This window comes from Homo sapiens, chromosome 1 (assembly GCF_000001405.40).
Source record: "Homo sapiens chromosome 1, GRCh38.p14 Primary Assembly".
Lineage (NCBI taxonomy): Eukaryota > Metazoa > Chordata > Mammalia > Primates > Hominidae > Homo > Homo sapiens.
Window position 1 is genome coordinate 236,193,425 of NC_000001.11, and position 21,054 is coordinate 236,214,478.

General features: G+C 38.3%; 1 protein-coding gene across 2 annotated transcripts in view; it reads left to right on the forward strand.

The window, feature by feature from the left end:
* GPR137B (G protein-coupled receptor 137B) overlaps positions 1-15,483 on the forward strand; it is a 66,369-nt gene extending 50,886 nt beyond the window's left edge. Inside the window, exons 6-7 of one of the 2 annotated variants that reach the window (NM_003272.4) lie at positions 11,702-11,826; positions 14,626-15,483. In NM_003272.4, the coding sequence (NP_003263.1) occupies positions 11,702-11,826; positions 14,626-14,734 (234 nt within the window). In that variant the 3' untranslated portion in view covers positions 14,735-15,483. Of the gene's footprint in view, positions 1-11,701; positions 11,827-13,708; positions 13,857-14,625 lie in introns of those variants that run through there. The other variant, XM_017002209.3, reaches the window with a different exon arrangement.
* Positions 15,484-21,054: the final 5,571 nt, after the last annotated feature.

Genomic DNA, 21,054 nt, shown 5'->3' on the forward strand with positions numbered 1-21,054 from the left:
AGTGTCACTTTCTGAAAAACTGCCAGACTATTTTCCACAGAGACAGCACCATTTTACATTCTCACCAGCAGTGTATGAAGGTTCTGATTCCTCCACGCTCCTAGCACTTGTTATCTGACTTTTTGATTCTAGATATCATAATGTGTATTAAATGATATCTCCTTTTGGCTTCTGATGTATATTTCTCTGATGACTAAGTTTGTCGAGGATCTTTTTGTGTGCTTAGTGGTCATTTGTATATCCTCTTTGGAGAAATGTCTGTTCACATCCTTTGTCCATTTTTAAACTGGGTTGTCTTTTTATTATTGAATTGTAAGAGTTCTTTATATGTTTTAAATATACTCTTAAGTCCCTTGTCAGGTATATGATTTGCACATATTTTCTCTCATTCTGTAGCTGTCTTTTCACTTTCTTGATTGGTATCCTTTGAAGCACAAAAGCTTTTACTTTTGTCCACTGTATTTATCTTTTGTTGCTCGTGTTCTGGTGTCATACCCAAGAACCCTTTGCCACATCGTATACTGATGGTCCCTGATTTACAACAGTTCAACTTACAATTTTTCAACTTTACAGATGGTGTGAAAGCAGGACACATTCAGTAGAAACTATAATTGAAATTTTGAATTTTTTAATCTTTTCCTAGGCTAACAATATGGGGTATGATAATCTCTCAAGATGTATAGAGCAGTGAGGCACAGCTCTCAGTCAGCCATGCGATCATAGGGGTCAACAACTGATACTCTATGGTGTGTATTTTTTATTTGTTTTCAACTTACAATGAGTTTATCAGAATGTAACCTCATCATAATTTTGAGAAGCATCTGTATTTGCCCCTGAAAACTTGCCCCTATATTTTTTTCTAAGAGTTTTGTAGTTTTTGTTCTTACATTTGGTCTTTAATACATTTTGAGTTATTTTTTGTATATGGTGTGAGATAAGGATCCAACTTCATTCTTTTGCGCGTGGCTCATAGGTATTCTTAAACTATTAAAAAGAGTAAATTTTAAGGCAATCCACCTTGTGTTAGTTCCACTTTGCTCCTTATGTTTGGCTGCAATTAGTCTTAGCAAAGCAGGAATTCACATTTAGATAGCCGTCATGTGGCCACCTCTGTTCATGTTCTATTAACTTTTAAATAGGTCACTGATGTTAAGAACAATGATGTCAAAACATATGCCTGATTTGGTGTACCATATAATCTAGTTCTGATCTTGTTTAGGCTTTCCTGACAAAGACAACTTTACTTTTTAGAAGCTGCTGGCAGAAAAGGCTTTTCAAACCCCAACAGTCATCCCAGGGCAGCTGTGATACTGAAAACTGGCAATGACCTCTAGGGTGTACCTGAGACCAGTCATTGGAAATTTTTTGAGAGGTAAACTCAGTTTGGGGGCAGAAACAGGATGAAATGATTATAGAGGCAGGAGATGGAAATGGGATGAGAAATCCTCCCCAAATGATTTCACCATTGTTATGACTGCTCTCATGATTTATATCCAAATTGAACTATCTACTTTATTCTGGCTAATTTGGGCATCATCTAGCTTTTAAAAATTTTTTTGTAGGTACATAGATAATAGGTGTGTATATTTATGGGGTACATGAGATGTTTTGATACAGGCATGATGATTATTTCACATCATGGAGAATGGTGTCTCCATCCCAAGCATTTATCCTTTGTTTTACAAACAATCCAATCACACTCTTTTAGTTATTTTAAAATGTACAGTTATTATTGACTATATAGTCCACCCTGTTGTTAGTGCTATCAAATAGTAAGTCTTATTCATTCACTAAAATTCTTTTTTTTTTTTTCCCCATTAACCATACTCTCCCCCCGCCACTACCCTTCCCAGCCTCTGGCAACCATCCTTCTCCTCTCTGTGTCCATGAGTTCAATTGTTTGAGTTTAGATCCCACAAATAAGTGAGAACATGCGATGTTTGTCTGTGTCTGGCTTATTTCACTTAACATAATCATCTCCAGTTCATCCATGTTGTTCCAAATTACTGGATTTCATTCTTTTTTATGGCTGAGTGGTACCCCATTCTGTATATGTTCCACATTTTCTTTATCCATTCATCTGCTGATGAACACTTAGGTTGCTTCCAAAGCTTAGCTATTGTGAACAGTGCTGCAACAAACACAGGATTGCAGATATCTCTTCAATATCCTGATTTCCCTTCTTTTGGGTAGATACCAGCAGTGGGATTGCTGGATCATGTGGTAGCTCAATTTTTATTTTTGAGGAACTGCCAAACTGTTCTCCATAGTGGTTGTACTAATATACATTCTCACCAACAGTGTTCAAGGGTTCCCTTTTCTCCACATCCTTGCCAGCGTTTGTTACTGCCTTTTAGATATAAGCGATTATAACTGCAGTGAGGTAATATCTCACTGTAGTTTTGATTTGCATTTCTCTGATGATCATTGATGAACACTTTTTGATATGCCTGTTTGCCATCTGTATGTTGCCTTTCGAGAAATGTCTGTTCAAATCTTTTGCCCATTTTTAATTTTGATTACTACACCTTTTCCTAATATTCTGGTTGTTAATCCCTTGTCAGATGGGTAGTTTGCAAATATTTTCTCCCATTCTGTGGGTTGTCTTGACTTTGTTGTTTCTTTTACTGTGCAAAAGCTTTTAACTTGATATGATCCTATTTTTCCATTTTGCTTTGGTTGCTTGTAGGATATTGCTCATGAATTCATTTATTTTTATTTTTATTTATTTTTGAGATGGAGTCTTGCTCTGTTGCCCAGGCTGGAGTACAGTAGCATGATCTTGGCTTACTGCAATCTCTGCTTTCTGGGTTCAAGTGATTCTCCTGCGTCAGCCTCCTGAGTAGCTGGGACTACAGGCATGAGCTACCACACCCAGCTAATTTTTGTATTTTTGGTATAGATGGGTCTTCACCGTGTTGGCCAGCCTGGTCTCGAACTCCTGACCTCAAGTCATCCACCTGCCTCAGCCTCCCAAAGTGCTGGGATTACAGGCATGAGCCACTGTGCGTGGCCAAGAATTAATATTATTTTTAAATTTTTGTCTTAATTTCAAAAGTTTTTGGGGAATAGGTAGTGTTTGGTCACATGGAAAAGTTGTTTAGTGGTGACTGCTGAGATTTTGGTGCACCCATTACCTTAGCATTGTACACTGTACCCAATGTGTAGTCTTTTATCCCTCACCCTCTTCCACCCTTCCCCCAGGTCCCCAATTCCATTATATTGCTCTTATCCCTTTGCATCTTCATAGCTCAGCTCCTGCTTATAAGTGAGAAGATATAATGTTTGGTTTTCCATTCCTGAGAGTTATTTCACTTAGAATAATGGTCTCCAACTCCATCCAGGTTGTTGTGGATGCTATTTCATTCCTTTTTATGGCTGAGTAGTAGTCCATGGTATATATATACCATTTTTCTTTATCCACTAGTTGGTTGATGGGCATTTAGGCTGGTTCCATATTTTTGTATTTTGGGAACTGTGGATTGTGTGGCTATAAACATGCCTGCACAAGTGTCTTTTTCATATAATGACTCCTTTACCTCTGGGTAGATACCCAGTAAGTGGGATTCCCACCAGCAGTATAAAAGTGTTCTTTTTTACTACATCCATGCCAACATCTGTTATTTTTTTATTTCTGAATTATGGTCATTCTTGCAGGAGTAAGGTATGGGGCATCTCATTGTGGTTTTGGTTTGCATTCCTCTGAGAATTAGTGATGTTGAGGATTTTTTCATGTTTGTTGGCCATATGGATATCTTCTTTTGAGAATTGTCTATTCATGTCCTTAGCCCACTTTTGGATGGGATTAGTTGTTTTTTTTTCTTGCTGATATGTTTGAGTTCTTGAAGATTTTGGATATTAGTCCATTGCTGGATGCATAGTCTGTGAATATTTTCTCCTACTCTATGACTTGTCTGTTTACTCTGCTGATTATTTCCTTTGCTGTACAGAAGACTTTTTGTTTAATTAGGTCCCATGTATTTATCTTAGTTTTTGTTTTATTTGCTTTTGGATTCTTGGTCATGATCTCTTTGCCTAAGACAATGTCTAGAAGAGTTTTTCTGATTTATCTTCTAGAATTTTTCTGGTTTCAGGTCTTAGATTTAAGTCTTTGATCCATCTTGAGTTGATTTTTGTATACGGTGAGAGATGAGGATCCAGCTTCATTGTTCTACATGTGGCTTGCCAATTATCCCAGCACCATTTGTTGAACAGGGTGTCCTTTCCCCACTTTATGTTTTTATTTGTGTTGTTGAAGATCAGTTGTCTGTACATATTTGGCCTTATTTCTGGGTTCTCTATTCTGTTCCATTGGGGTACCTGCCTCACTCTGTCACCCAGGTTGGAGCACAGTGGCACAATCCCGGCTCATTGGAACCTCCGCCTCCCAGGTTCAAGTGATTCTCCTGCCTCAGCCTCCTGAGTAGGTGGGATTACAGGCATCTACCGCCATGCGCAGCTAATTTTTGTATTTTTAGTAGAGACGAGGTTTCACTATGTTGACCAGGCTGGTCTTGAACTCCTGACCTCAAGTGATCCACCCGCCTCGGCCTCCCAAAGTGCTGGGATTTCAGGCTTGAGCCACTGCATCCGGCCCTGCCTGCCTATTCTTATACGAGTACTATGCTGTTTTGGTAACTATAGCCTTGTAATATAGTTGGAAGCTGGGTAATGTGATACCTCCAGATTTGTTCTTTTTGCTTAGTCTTGCTTTGGCTATGCACGATCTTTTTTGGTTCCATACGAATTTTAGAATTTTTTCTATTTCTGTGAAGAATGATGACCTTTTTGTTTTTTTGAGACAGAGTCTTGCTCTGTCGTCCAGGCTGGAGTGCAGTGGTGTGATATTGGCTCACTGCAATCTGTGCCTCCCAGGTTCAAGTAATTCTTGTGCCTCAGCCTCCAAAGTAGCTGTGATTACAGGTATGCACCACCACACCTGGCTAACTTTTGCATTTTTTAGTAGAGACAGGGTTTTGCCATGTTGTCCAGGCTGGTCTCGAACTACTGACCTGAAGTGATCTACCTGCCTGGCCTCCCAAAGTGCTGGGATTACAGGTGTGAGCCACTGTATCCAGCCTGATGATGGTATCTTGATGGGAATTGCATTGAATTTGTAGATTGCTTTTGGCAGTATGGTCACTTTCATAATATTGATTCTACCCATCTGTGAGCATGGGGGATGTGTTTCCATTTGTTTCTGTCATCTGTGATTTCTTTTAGCAGTGTTTTGTAGCTTTCCTTGTAGAGAGCTTTCACCTCCTTGGTTAGGTATATTCCTAAGTATTTTGTTTTTGCAGCTGTTGTAAAAGGGGCTGAGTTCCTTATTTGATTCTCAGCTTGGTCGTTGTTGGTGATCAGTTTTAGGAGCTTTTAGGATAAGTCTTTAGGGTTTTCTAGGTATGCGATTATGTCATTGGTGAACAGTGACAGTTTGACTTACTCTTTACTGGTTTGGGTGCCCTCTTGCTGTTGTCTGATTGCTCTGGCTAAGGACTTCCAGTACTATGTTGAATAGAAGTGGTGAAAGAGGGTTTCCTTGTCTTGTTCCATTTCTCAGGTGGAATGCTTTCAACTTTTCCTGATTCAGTATAATGTTGGCTGTGGGTTTGTCATAGATGGCTTTTATTATCTTGATGTATGTCCCTTCTATGCCAGTTTTTCTGAGGGCTTTAGTCCTAAACAGATGCTGGATTTTTTCAAATGCTTTTTCTGCATCCATTGAGATAATCATATGATTTTTGTTTTTAATTCTGTTTATGTGATATAGCCCATTTATTGACTCATGTATGTTAAACCATCCCTGCATCCCTGGTATGAAACCCACTTGATCATGGTGGATTATCTTTTTGATATGCTGTTGGATTCAGTTAGCTATTAATATTTTGTTGAGGATTTTTACATCTATGTTCATCAGGGATAAACATAGTTTTGCTATGTCCTTTCCTGGTTTTGGTATTAGGGTGATACTGGTTTCATAGAATGATTTAGGGAGGATTCCCTCTTTCACTATCTTTTGGAACGGTTTCAGAATAAGATTGGTACCAATTCTTCTTTGAATATCTGATAGAAATTAGCTGTGAATCCACCTGGTCCTGGACTTTTTTTGTTGTTGGAAATGTTTTTATTGCTGTTTCGATCTCGCTAGTTGTTATGTTCAGTTTCTATTTCTTCCTAATTTAATCTAGGAGGGTTGTATATTTTGATTTTCTAGTTTCTGTAAAGGTGTTCGTAGTAACCTTGAATGATCTTTTGTATTTCTGTGGTATCGGTTGTAATATCTCCCATTTTGTTTCTAATTGAGCTTATTTGGATCTTCTGTCTTCTTGGTTAATCTCACTAATGGTCTATCAATTTTGTTTATCTTTTCAAAGAATCAGCTTTTTGTTTCATTTATCTTTTGTATTGCCTTTTTGTTTCAATTTCATTAGTTCTGCTCTGATCTTTGTTATTTCTTTTCTTCTGCTGGGTTTGGGTTTGGTTTGTTCTTGTTTCTCTAATTCCTTGAGGTAGGACCTTAGATTTTCTATTTGTGCTCTTCCAGACTTTTTTGATGTAGGAATTTAATGCTGTCAACTTTCCTCTCAGCCCCACTTTTGCTGTGCCTCAGAGGTTTGGGTAAGTTGTGTCATTATTATCATTCAGTTCTAAGAATTTAATTTCCATCTTGATTTCATTGTTGACCCAAAGATCATTCAGGAGCACATTAATTTCCATGCATTTATATAGTTTTGAGGGTTCCTTTTGGAGTTAATCTCCAATTTTATATTCCACTGTGGTCTGAGAGAGTACTTGATATAATCTCAATTTTCTTAAATTGATTTAGACTCATTTCATAGCCTATCATATGGTCTATCTTGGAGAATGTTCTATGTGCCAATGAAAAGAATGTATATTCTGCAGTTGTTGGGTAGAATGTTCTGTAAGTATCTGTTAAGTCCGTTTGTTCTAGGGTATAATTTAAGTCCATTGTTTCTTTGTTAACTTTCTGTCTTGATGGCTTGTCTAGTGCTGTCAGTGGAGTACTGAAGTACCCCACTATGGTGTTGCTATCTCATTTCTTAATGTCTAATAATAATTGTTTTATAAATTTGGGGGCTCCCATATTAGGTGCATATATATTTAGGATTGTGATATTTTCCTGTTGGACTGATCCTTTTATTAATAAATAATGTCTCTCTTTGTCTTAACTGTTGATGCTTTAAAGTCTATTTTGTCTGATAAAAGAATAGCTACTCCTGCTTACTTTTTGTTTTCATTTGCATGGAATATCTTTTTCCACCCCTTTACCTTAAGTTTATGTGAGTACTTATGCATTAGTTGAGTCTCTTGAAGACAGCAGATACTTGATTTGTGGATTTTTACCTAGTCTGCCATTCTGTATCTTTTAAATGGAGCATTTAGGCCATTTACACCCAACATTAGTATTGAGATGTGAGACTGTTTTATTCATCATGCCAGTTGTTGCCTGAATACTTTTTTTTTTCATTGTTTTATAGGCCTGGTGAGATTTATGCTTTAAGGAGGTTCTATTCTGGTGTATTTTGAGGTTTTGTTTCAAGAATTAGAACTCCTTTTAGCATTTCTTGTAGTGCTGGCTTGGTAGTGGCAAATTCTTAGCATTTGGTTGTCTGAAGACTTTGTATCTTTTCCTTCATTTATGAAGCTTTGTTTTGCTGGATACAGAATTCTTGGCTGACAATTATTTTGTTTGAAGAGGCTAAAGATAGGACCCCAATCCCTTCTGGCTTATAGGGTTTCTCCTGAGAAATCTGCTGTTAAACAGCTTTTAAAATTCTTTCCTTTGTCTTGACTTTAGATAACCTGACTGTGCCTGATCATCTTTTTGCAATTATTTTCCCAGGTGTTCTTTGAGCTTCTTGTATTTGGATGTCTAGATCTCTAGTGAGGCCAGGGAAGTTTTCCTTGATTATTCCCTCAAATATGTTTTCCAAACTTTAGATTTCTCTTCATCTTCAGGAACACCAATTATTATGTTTGGCCATTTGACATAATCACAAATTTATTGGAGGCTCTGTTCATTTTGTAAATTCTTTTTTGTCTTTGTGGATTGGGTAATTGCCTTGTCTTCAAGTTCTGAAGTCCTTTCTTTTCTACTTGATTCTATTGTTGAAACTTTACAGTGAATTTTTTATCCTCCAAGTGCGTCTTTCATTTCCAGAAGTTGTGACAGTTTTTTATTATATCTGTTTCTCTGGAGACATTTTCATCCATATCTGTATTTTAAAAAAGAGTACTTAAGTTGGTTTTCACCTTTCTCTGGTATCTCTTTGAGTAGCTTAATAATCAACCTTCTTAATTATTTATCTGGCAATTCAGGTATTTCTTCTTGGTTTGGATCCATTGCTGGAGAGCTGGCATGAGCCTTGTTATAGAACCTTGTTTTGTCATATTACCAGAACTGCTTTTCTGATTCCTTCTCATGTGGGTAGACTATTTCACTGGAAAAATCTGGAACTCAAAGCTGCTGGTCAGATTCTTTTGTCTGGGTGGTTCCTTGATGTGGGTTGCTTCCCCTTCTCCTAGTGATGGGGCTTCCTGTGAGCCAGACTGCAGTGATTGTTATTGCTCTTCTTGGTCTAGTCACCCAGCAGGGCTACCGGGCTTTGGACTGGTGCTGGGGAATGTCTGCAAAGAGTCCTGTGATGCAATTCATCTTCAGATCTCCCAGCTATAGATACCAGCACCTGCTCCTGTGGAGGTGGCAGGGGATTGAAGTAGACTCTGTGAAAGACCTTGGTTGTAAGTATGTTTAGTATGCTGGCTTTCTTAAGTGCTTTATGCTAGCAATGAAGTTGCCACCATGGACAGACTCAGGACCACTGTTTAGCCAGGATGTTGGAGGCAGTAGAATTAGCTGTTGTTTTCTCCTTCCTTGGAGCAGGGGATCTGTCATGAGTTGCTGTAATGTCCTGAGGTGGTTGGCCTCCAGCCAGGAGGTGGCACTTTCAAGAGAGCACCAGAGTTTTTCACCTGTCTCTCAGAATTTGCAGTGGCCTGCCGCTTCTTTCCAAGTGTCTGTGAATTCCTTCAGTTTTCCTGGTATGCTCCTGTGGTGGTTCCTGGAGCAAAAGTCCATGGTGTGACTCTCCACACACTGTTCTGTCTGTCCAAGTGGGAGCTGCATGTAAGCCCTATCTCCTATCCACCATCTTCCCCTCAAAGTATTTATATGTAAATAGAATAGATGAACAGAATCTAGATCCAGATGCAAATCTGAAATCCATTCCCTGCCTGTTGAACTTTCACTTCTTCAGGAAACAAATTCTCTGCTCTTTAGCCCCAAACCTCTGCCATGATGGCAGTGCCCATAGGGACACTCTCAAGAAATTTTTGCCCAGACCCATGTCTTGGCGATATTCCCCAATGTTTTCTTGTAGTAGTTTCACAGTTTGAGGTCTTAGGTTTAAGTCTTTAATCCATTTTTTTTGATTTTTGTATCTGGTGAGAGATAGTGGTCTAGTTTCATTCTTCTGCATATGGATATCTAGTTTTCCCAGCACCATTTATTGAAGTCTTTTCCCCAGTGTATGTTCTTGGCAGTTTGTTGAAAATGAGTTCACTGTAGGTGTGTGGATTTGTTTCTGGGGTCTCTATTCTGTTCTATTGGTCTATGTGTCTGTTTCTTTTCTTTCTTTCTTTTTTGTTTTGAGACAGAGTCTTGCTCTGTCGCCCAGGCTGGAGTGCAATGGCGTGATCTCGGCTCACTGCAAGCTCCGCCTCCCAGGTTCACGCCATTCTCCTGTCTCAGCCTCCCGAGTAGCTGGGACTATGGGCACCCCCCATTTCGCCCGGCTAATTTTTTGTATTTTTAGTAGAGATGGGGTTTCACTGTGTTAGCCAGGATGGTCTTGATCTCCTGACCTCATGATCTGCCTGCCTCAGCCTCCCAAAGTGCTGGGATTACAGGTGTGAGCCACCATGCCTGGCCCTATGTGTCTGTTCCTATACCAGTACCATGCTGTTTTAGTTACTATAACTCTGTAGTGTAATTTGAAGTCAGGTCATGTTGATTCTCCCAGTTTTGTTCTGCTTAAAATAGCTTTGGCTATTCTGGGTCTTTTGTGGTTCTGTATAAATTTTAGGATTGTTTTTTCTATTTCTGTGAAGAGTATCATTGGTATTTTGATGGGGATTGCATTGAATCTGTAGATTGCTTTGGGTAGTATGGCCATTTTAACAATATTGATTCCTCCAATCCATGAACAGAAAATATTTTTCCATTTTTTGGTGTCCTCTTCAGTTTCTTTAAATGTTTTATAGTTTTCATTATAGAGCTCTTTCACTTCTTTGTTTAATTTCTAGGTATTTGTGGCTATTATAAGTGGGATTACTTTTTGTTTCTTTTTCAGATTGTTCACTCTTGGTATATAGAAATGCTACTGATTTTTTGTGCAACTTTACTGAATTTATTAGTTCTCATACTTTTTGTGGAGTCATTAATTTGACTTTTTCTATTCCAATTTGGATGCCCTTTCTCTTGTCTGATTGCTCTAGCTAGGACTTCCAGTACTATGTTTAATAACAGTGGTGACTGTGTGTTCCACATCTTAGAGGAAAGGCTTGTAGTTTTCCCCTATTCAGTATGATACTAGCTATGGGTCTGTCATATATGGCTTGTATTATGTTGAGGTATGTTTCTTCTTTCCCCGGTTTGAGGGTTTTTATCATGAAGGAACACTGAATTTTATCAAGTGCTTTTTTAGCATCAATTGAGATGATCATATGGTTTTTATCTTTCATTCTGTTAACATGATGTGTCACATTTATTTGTGCTATGTTGAGCCATCCTTGTATCACATGGATAAATCCCACTTAGTCATGATGAATAATCTTTCCAATGTATTGTTGAATTTGGTTTACTAGTATTTTGTTGAAGATTTTTGCATCAATATTTATCAGAGATATTGGCCTACAGTTTTATGTGTCTTTGGTTTTAGTATCAGGGTAATACTGGCCTCCTCCATGAGTGTAGAAGTACTCCCTCTTCCTCTATTTTTTTTGGATTAGTTTGAGTATGACTGACATTAGTTCTTCTTTAAATGTTTGGTAGAATTCTGCAGTGAAGCCATTGGGTCCCAGGCTTTTCTTTACTGGGAGACTTTTTATTATGGCTTTGATCTCTTGCCTTTTTTCTCCTTGTTACTAACAGTGAAAGTCTTTAGAAAACCTTAAGAGAGCTCTGAAAAGAACCCTTGTTTTAGGGACAGAAGAACTGAAGAAAAGCTGGGAGAAAACATTGCTTTCTCAGTGGATTAGGGAGCAGAGAAATTCTAGTTAGGTAGAATAAAAGACTTGTTATTGGTCTGTTCGGGTTTTAGTCTTTCCGGTTTAGTCTTAGTAGGCTGTATGTGTCTTGGAATTTGCCCATTTCTTCTAGATTTTACAGTTTATTGGCATATAGTTACTCATCATCTAGCTTTTCAATAAGGGATTAAAACAATGATGACTCACTGTTGCAAGCAAGACTCTGATAGAAGACTTTGCCCATACTGATAAAAGGCAAGGCGAATCCCTCTCAAACATAAGAGTAACTGAAATGAATATTCCAGCTGAACAGATATAGCCTACATTCAAATGAATAGAACATCTTTAGTCTCCTACAAGAAAGAGATCTTATTTTTGTCTGGTGCAAGGCATGATGTCTGTAAGTATGCTGAATGATTACCTGTCTTTCTAGACCAACCCTGGAATGGTCCCCAGCCATGGATTCAGTCCCAGATCTTATTTCTTTGACAACCCTCGAAGATATGACAGTGATGATGACCTTGCCTGGAACATTGCCCCTCAGGGACTTCAGGGAGGGTAAGACCCTACTTCATGTTAGACAAGCCTCATCAGGAGGGAAGGGTTACACCAGTTAAATAGATTCAAGCTAAAAGAAAATTCCTACGTTAAAACTGTGCAGCCTTAGGTGGTATAAGACTGGATTCTCAGTAGATCATTTTACTTATGTGAAACATTCAGGAATGAGAAAGGACATCCGGTTTTTTTAAAGCCCCATAGCATTATTGTATACAGTAGTGTTTCCTAAACAATATTCCATGAAACACTATTTTCTTAATAGTTATGCTGTGCAAAAGGAAATGATAATCAACTTTTTTATTTCTTGGAGATAGGGTCTCACTCTGTTGCCCGGCTGGAGTGCAGAGTGGTGCAATCTTGGCTCACTGCAACCTCCCGCTCCCAGGTTCAAGTAATTCTTGTGCCTCAGGCTCCTGAGTAGCTGGGATTACCGGTGTGCGCCACCGCACCCAGCAAATTTTTTTATTTTTAGTAGAGACGGGGTTTTGCCACGTTGGCCAGGCTGGATTGAACTCCTGGCCTCAAGTGATCTGCCCACCTTGGCCTCCCAAAGTGCTGGGATTACAGGCGTGAGCCACTGCACCCGGCCAGAAAAAAAACTTTTTAGAAAATGCCGAGCGAGCCTGTAATATGCTAATGTGTGCTCTGAATCTCCAAGAGGGAAATACAGCACTTGTCTATGGAATCACTCAATGGAACATGATATCTTTAATCACATGTTCTAAAGCTAGAGAGTAAATGCAGTAGTATTTATTTATTAGAATAAATTATACATTATAAAGGACCAAGTTTTCAAATTTGAATGATGTCAGTTCTTAATTTAAAATTTCATTTACATGAAGGGTATTTATTTGGTCTCAATTTTCATGAATACTTATTTAATAAATACTTCTATAGCATCTACTCTGTATCAGACACTGTTCTAAGAGATTCACAAATATCAACTCATTTAGTCTTAACAGTCCTGAGAGGTCAGTACTATTATTAGCCTCATAATACAGATGAAACTGAGGTATCTAGAGGGTAGGTAACTTGTCCAAGGTCACACAGCTAGCAAGTGATCAGGCTACAATTCTAACTCAGGCAGTTTTGTTCAAATTTGTTTTCTGAATCACCATACTATGTAAACAGTTTGTATATAAGTACCCTGTCTCTTAGTCTCACCTACGCTTATGTTATACTTTCACGTGAGTTTTAATAGCAGGAGTCTCCTTCCTTGAATCTACATGCGGATCTGGCCCAGAAAATGTGGAAAGGGCAGTTAAATACTGAGAGTTCAAAGCAGCATACATAGAGGGTGTAAGACAATACATGAACTACCAGTCCGCTGCCATCGCCTAATCTTCAGTGAATTGGGAAGGCAAATAAAAAGAGGGAAGCACCTGAAATTGCAACCATAGCAGAGATCCACCCCAGGATTCCAAGTTTTGCTTACCTCAGCATGGGCATGGTCTGCAAACAGGAAGGGTAGTTGCTATTGGGATTCCCTTCCCTTTTCCTCAGCCTGCTGTGCTCAGCCATACTCCACTACCCGATGACTATCATGTTTCCCCTTTCAGCCTGTGGCTCTGAGACGGTGAGGCCAGCAGGGGTGAGAGGAGCCAAAAGGGCTGACATAGTGCCTGCCAAGCCTGTCTTCTCTCTGCTTGTCCTCTCAGGACCCCCATCCTGTTCCTGGGAAAGGGGAGCTTCTTAGAAAGTGAAAGGTTATCTTATGTAATCTTTTGTAAGATTAAAGACTTAGCATTAACAACTTTACAACTTTTTTCCCTCTGGGATGAAATGATAAAAAATATATGCTTGCCTTTTTACTCCTTGTTAGTAACAGTGAAAGTCTTTAGAAAACTTTTTAAGAGAGCTCTGAAAAGAGTCCTTGTTTTAGGGACAGAAGTACTGAAGAAAAGCTGGGAGAATACATGCTTTCTCAGTGATCGGGGAGCAGAGAAATCCTGGTCAGATAGGATAAAAGATTGTCGCTGAGAAAAAAGAAGAAAGCTGCCCAATGCGCTGAGCCAGCAGATGTAAAGAACGTAAGCTGGAAGCAAGCCAACAAACAAGAAGGACTTCTTGAAGTCAAAAGCTGTCCTTTGGGTCACTCAGATTCTGAGCTCCACCTCTTCCTTAAAACTGTTCTTTTCCAGTTACCCCACTGCATCTCCTATTAGTTGCTTTCCCCTTTAAACCCATATTCTGCTAGAGCTGTCCCACCCTCTCACCTGCCAGAAATGACTTAGAGCTGAGGGAGTCCTCACTACCGATATGGTGAAGACAAGACCCCCTTTCTACTACATAGAGGAACATAATTATAATGAAAACGACTTACGTGTATTGAGAATTAACTATATATTAGACACTGTTCTAAGCACTTTACAGATGTTAACTCAGTCCCCACAATAGGCCCACGACGTAGTTACTAATATTACTCCCATTCTAAGATGAGGAAATTGAGGCATAGAAGTTACTTGTCCAAAGACACCACCACAGGTTGTGAGCTGTACTCCATGTTAGGATTCAGATGCAGTTTGTTGCTGAAAACATTTCCTATGCATAGTGACTGGCTGGGTTCTCTAGTCATGCTGTATACTCTGTGCTCTAAAGAGTTCAGTAGAGTTGTCGGTGGGCATTTCAGCCCTGTGTGTAGCATGGTTTTGTGGGAAAATGGACTTTAAGAGCCATTTAAAAGAACTTTAGAGTTATCTATAGTTTACACAAAAATCTCAGCTCTGTCTACCTAAACTAGACTATGTCATACATACTATATAATGTTTCAAGTCACTGAAATATTTTTTTCTTTTTAAGTTTTGCTCCAGATTACTATGATTGGGGACAACAAACTAACAGCTTCCTGGCACAAGCAGGAACTTTGCAAGACTCAACTTTGGATCCTGACAAACCAAGCCTTGGGTAGCATCAGTTAACAGTTTTATGGACGATTCCTCAGATGAAAAGCTTCAGAAAAGCATAGTGACAGCTGAATTTTTAGGGCACTTTTCCTTAAGAAATAGAACTTGATTTTTATTTGTTACAGGTTTCCAATGGCCCCATAGGAATAAGCAATAATGTAGACTGATAAACCCTTATTTTAGTACTAAAGAGGGAGCCTTGCTATTTCAGTGGGTATAATTTAAACTTTTTAAAGAAAATCTGTACTTTTATAAAGATGTATTTTGTATAACTTAAATAATAATGCTAAAGTATACTAGGGTTTTTTTTTCTTGAGAATGTTACTGCAATCATGTTGTAGTTTGCACAGACTTTTATGCATAATTCACTTTAAAAATATAGAATATATGGTCTAATAGTTTTTTAAAGCTTTTGGACTAAAGTATTCCACAAATCTTACCTCTTTAGGTCACTGATGGTCACTCCGATTCTGAGTGCCACATTGGTAGACTCCTAAAATACAGTTGACAACTTAGCCAATTGCAACTCCAGTGTTGATAATTAAAATGAAATGGTAAAGCAGCAGACTGTAAGGTCTTTAGAGATTTTTTTTTTAAGGTTCAGGCCGTAGGTTCCTCAAGGAATCTCTTAAGTTTTGCCCAAAGACTGGTACTTCCTTTCAGTAGGGCGCTAATGTATACACATTAATGATAAGTTGATAACATTAAAAATGTAGCTGACTTATCCTATTAAACCTCCTCTGCTATGTTCACAGATTCTGCATAGTTTTTTTTCAGCCTAATGAAATCTAATATGCATTACCTCAGGGCCACATCAAGAATACACCCCTTTCCGAACTCACTGAATGTTCATTACATTCAAGGAGAAAATAAGAGGGTCCATAAAGGGCATTAATAACAAATACCCCAAGCCGTTGAGCTAAGACTATGTGGAATCCTAATAGTTTTTTCCGTAATCTCCAACTATATTTAAAATAATGCCCTTCTAAATAGCTCTGTAAAGAGCCTATTGGAAGCTGCACATTTAAAAATGGCAATAGCACTGCAATATGCTGTAGCATGATGCCTGTCAGCCATGTTCCAGACAATTCCTTGTAAGTCATCTTTCATTTAAGTAAAAAACAGGTTATGAAGTACTGCCTCCCAGACCGGAAGTGCCATTCTAAAAACTCCACTATATATATCCTGGAGCCATAAAACTGCCTATTGGGAGGCTAAATGCTCTGCTTTTCTATAAAACAGAGATAAGGTTCTAGAGGAAGTACTGTTACCAGAAACAAGGCACGTTTCTTCTCTGCCTAGGAATGCTCATCTGGGGACAGAGGGAAGGTTCAATGAAAAGGAACTTATATTAACAAGTCCTACTACATGATGCAACCCATTTCAAATGACTCCTCTCATTTTGATCTTCAGGAATAACTGATCTCTGGGCATTGATTTCACAGATGAAGTCTACTATTGTTTTGGTAGTATTTAAAATTGGGATCTCAAGTTTCAAATTGATCATCATTGGGCTTTTCATGTGTATAGAACACCTTCACTCTGCATAATCCTACATAACAACATTCTTGTCTTCTAGTACATGAAAAAATTGGGGTAACATAGCATTTAAAGTAGTTATCAGGGAAAAGTCTATACTGAAGTGAACCCTACACTGTTATTCAAGTTGCCTTAACACATTATAAGCTATTATTCTAAATAGCTTTAACAGATTATTGTGGTCACACTGTATTACTAATAGTTAATTTAAAGGCAGACTCAGCATGTTTTAAACTCCTTTAAGTTACATCTTCAGAAAGTCCTGAAGTCCTTCAGTATTAGGTCAGCTAAGGGAAGATATATTTTTAAAAATAGTGATAAGACTATCACTAATATCATACTCATCCTGTAATATGTAAACACAGTTCTGTTGTTACTGGCAGAAAAATTGGAATACCCAGCATTAAGTGAGAGAAGTCAGCCTACTTTTATGATGAAGCTACTGGGATTTATTTGAACTATTATTTTTGTTAGATAGTATAAAAATGTTCTAAGTGCCTATTTTTCTCATTCCCCTTTTAAAAATGTAATGCTAAAATTTCTAGAAGTGTTGTAAACACGGAATACAAAAAAACTATGATTGATTACTCAAACTCTCCTTCCTTCTTAGTAAGGAAAATTAAAATTCCCTTTGGCTTTCTAATTTACTTGTTCTACTAGGTACACTAACAAAACTACTTCTGGCTGGGCGCGGTGGCTCACGCCTGTATCCCAGCACTTTGGGAGGCCGAGGCGGGAGGATCACAAGGTCAGGAGATCTAGACCATCCTGGCTAACACGGTGAAAGCCCGTCTATACTAAAAATACAAAAAATTAGCCGGGCGTGGTGGCGGGTGCCTGTAGTCCCAGCTACTTGGAAGGCTGAGGCAGAAGAATGGTGTGAACCCAGGAGGCGGAGCTTGCAGTGAGCGGACATTGCGCCACTGCACTCCAGCCTGGGCAACAGAGCAAGACTCGGTCTCAAAACAAAACAAAACAAAACAAAAAAACTACTTATGTGGAATATTAAATGCTAAGAGGAAAAGGAATGGTGATTACTGGTTGCAAAATACCCAAATGTCCTCTTGTTTTAAAGCAACACGATGAAATTAAAGCCCTGATGATTAGAAAGTTGAAGTATATGGGGAAGAGGGAATCACTGAAAATTTTGTGCCATCATTTAGCTAAGTCTGATGGAACACTGAAAAGTTTCATGTGAACGTTTCTGGGTAACTGTTGGAAATAGTTTCTCTGACTATTGGAATAGGTGTCTACCTCTGCAGCTAATTGTCTAAGAATATTGTATAGATATTTTTCATTGGTTCTTTACCCTTTTTACAATGAACTCAGTTGAGCTGCTGATTAAAACATCTAGGGTATGTTACAGAGTTGTGACTGTAAGAAGGTTTGACTATTACAATATACACATCAATCATATTTATACCAATTCTCTCTTGAATGTATCAGGCAAATTAAAAGCTTTGCTGGTTAAATTTAGCTACTTAGATAAGGCACACTCACTAATGCCTCCTCAAATTTCCTCTTTCACCAAAATCCAAGTCAGCTGCTCTTTGTTGACCTTAGTGCTGGGCCAACACCTAGTTGAACACTTAAACCTTATTAAGAAGAAAGGAATACATATTAGTAAACCCTAGAACTTGAGAAGCACTGTGAGAAAAAGGTTCTCATATTTACATAGTGGATATTACTTGCTTTTATCTTTTAACAGTAAAGGTAAACTTATATTAGAACTAAATGGGTCTAAATATTTGAAACTTTTATCGAGATTTCCAACTAGACAACCTTTATCTAAAAAATACCATTCTTTCACTTTAGATTGTTGCATGAGGAAGAGACTAGCATAGATCTGATCAGAGACACATCTAATATGCATTCCCAGTTTTCATCTTATATGAGAATTGTATTAAAGGACATTTCTAACTGTATACTATCATGCTACTTAAGACATGGGTCCAGATGGAGGAGCTGCTGAAAAGGATCAGGCTAAAATTGGGGAATTTGTCTCATCAAAAAGATTCAATTAATAAACGGATTAAAGTGAGGAAACATTTAACAAGGAACAGTGAGGATAAGAGAGTGGGATTCAATGTCTATTCAGTACCTATTATATGAGAGACGCTGGACTAGGCACTCGTCACGTTTCTGTGGATCCTAGTCTATACTCAGGAACACCCACTTATTAACGTTACTCTAGGCCCTTAGCAAGGATACATAAGAACTCTTGCACCAAGGGTCAAAATACATTGAAGTCTTCTGAGGATGTCCCTGTGCCCATAACCTAGATCTGTGTCAGAGTCCCTGTACCTGTTGCCCGGTTCCTATGGGCCAGGGCACTGATACTACATGCCTTCCGTGTGGAGTTCTGAGATTGGCTGCCCAGGTCATTAATTATGGGTTCAGGGTTGTAAGATCTAAATCCAGTGACTCAGCAACTCCTAATGACATCTACCTGGTTCCTCCAAGTCTGGATTCTCTACCTCTAGTCCTTGAGCTATGGCTGGACCCTGTCTTCTGTTTTCTCAAACTGATTAACATCTTGCTAATACTAATTCTCTAGCTCCAAACCTGGTCTGCCCTTTTGGACCTTGGATGTCCTACCACTCAAAATATTAGACTATGTCCAGAACAGATTTTCTGCCCCTGAACTTAAGTGGAGATCAGATGCCTATAAGATTCCCAAAATTGCCCCCTTTTTCTATTGATTCCTGTTACTATGACCTTTTCCCCATGAATCGCGCTAACCTACAACAGTCCCTCCAGTCTCTTGGCAGGCCCAAGTTACAGTGCTCCTTGAACGGATTAACTGCATTAATGGATTAGCATGCATTTATCCTAAACAAATAGTGCTTTACCAGGGCCATTAAATATGTGTAACTTAGTATCCTTTGAGTGCTATCTCCTTGGTGAATTCACTAGCCAAGAGTCTGGGCTCCAGGTTTGCAGGTTTAAGCTCATTAAAGGGAACAGAACACACACCCATTTGGAGGTATATTCTATGAAGGAAAGCCATAGCAGAAGTTAAATGATACCAGAATGTTGCTTGGAATGTTAACTCCGCTCTGACCAGTGTTAGGGGAATGACTTTAATTGATTAATAGCATCAATCTATGACAATCTGATGGCATTGTCAAGACAACACTAAGATTCATTCATGTTGAGGACACCTTCTGCACTAGATGGGTGTCTAGTTGGCCATTTCCCTTTGGTTGATGTATTTTTTCTTTTGGTGCATTCTCACTACAATCTAGGTAGGTTATAATGTCTTAAGTTATATGATGGCAGGAATGTTTGTCTGTTTTGTTCACTGCTATAGTCCCAGCTCCTATAACAGTGAATGAATAGTCAAATCCTGTTTTTTGGTAGATGTCTGCTTTTTTTTTTTTTTCCAAAGTAACTTCTTGTACTTGCACTTTTATCCACATATTGATTTTACAAGTTTAGTACTTATTTAAGGGTCTCTCCCTCTTGTCTTATGAATCTTTGACAGATATCCAACTTTTGGGCAAATAATTCGTAATGGAATAAAAAAAGAAATAGGGATTTTACATGAGAACAGTCCTTAAATCATTCCTAGAGACTATCTTAAAATAGAAGCACTGAGATGACATTCTTTCCACACAGGCATTGCATCCTGCCTCTATCTGCCATCACCTGTTTGGGCACTGCCAAATAGAACACTGTAATAATTTAAAAGTAGTAAAAAGTGTATCTTTATCAGGTAAAGTATCAAAAGAACAGTGACAAAATAAGTGGTTAAAAGTGCAACCCTTGGGAGAGAACTTGAGTTGGACAGTTTTAGTATGCTCTATATGTTAAGAATTTTTTAAAGCTCATATGGAAAAATAAGAACAGTTAGAAAAACTGTTAAAAAAAAAAAAGGTGGGCAGGGGAGGAATGAGGGAGGACCAATGCACTAGATTAAAACTAAAGCCTGGGTAATTAAAACAATGTGGTACTAGTGCATGACTAAATAGAGCAATGAAATAGAAACAGATACAGAGAAACAGAAGCAGATACACAGCTAAATACATATGACGGATTCTAAGATAAGATCAATGTAGCCTCTCAAACTCGTCAGGAAAAAACAAACAGTTCAATAAATAATATTGGAACAACTGGGTTAATCACCTGCGGAAAAAATTAGGTTAGATCCATAACTTATATCTTATGCCAGAATATGCTTCAGAGGTTCAAAATTTAGATGTAGAATTTAGGTGAATTACTCTATTGCTCTGGATTGAGAAAAACATTCTAATTATGACTCAAAATCCAGAAACCACTAAAAAAACTGGTAATTCAGACTACATAAAAATTTTTTAAAACTCATGACAAAGCCATCATAAGCAAAAGACAGATGACAAATTGGAAAGAAAATATTTGCAACTCATTACTGTCAAAGGGTTCATATCCCTAACAAATAAACAACATATCAACGATATAGTAGAAAAATGGATAGGAACAAAACAATATGGGAAACAAAAGGAAATACAAATGGCTCCTAAACATATTAAAAGGTGGTCAACCTTAGGCATAGTAAAAATTTACATACTGAGCAGTCAGGTGTGTGGCGTGCACCTATAAGCCAGGCTATTCGGGAGGTTAAGGCTGGAGGATCACTTGAGCCCACGAGTTTGAGGCTACGGTGAACTATGATCATACCACTGCACTCCAGCCTGGGTGATAACGTGGGACCCTGTCTCTTTTTTAAGGAAAATAAAAGAATGTACACATTGATATAAATTTTCATCTACCAGAATGGCCAGAATCCAACATTTTAATAACATCT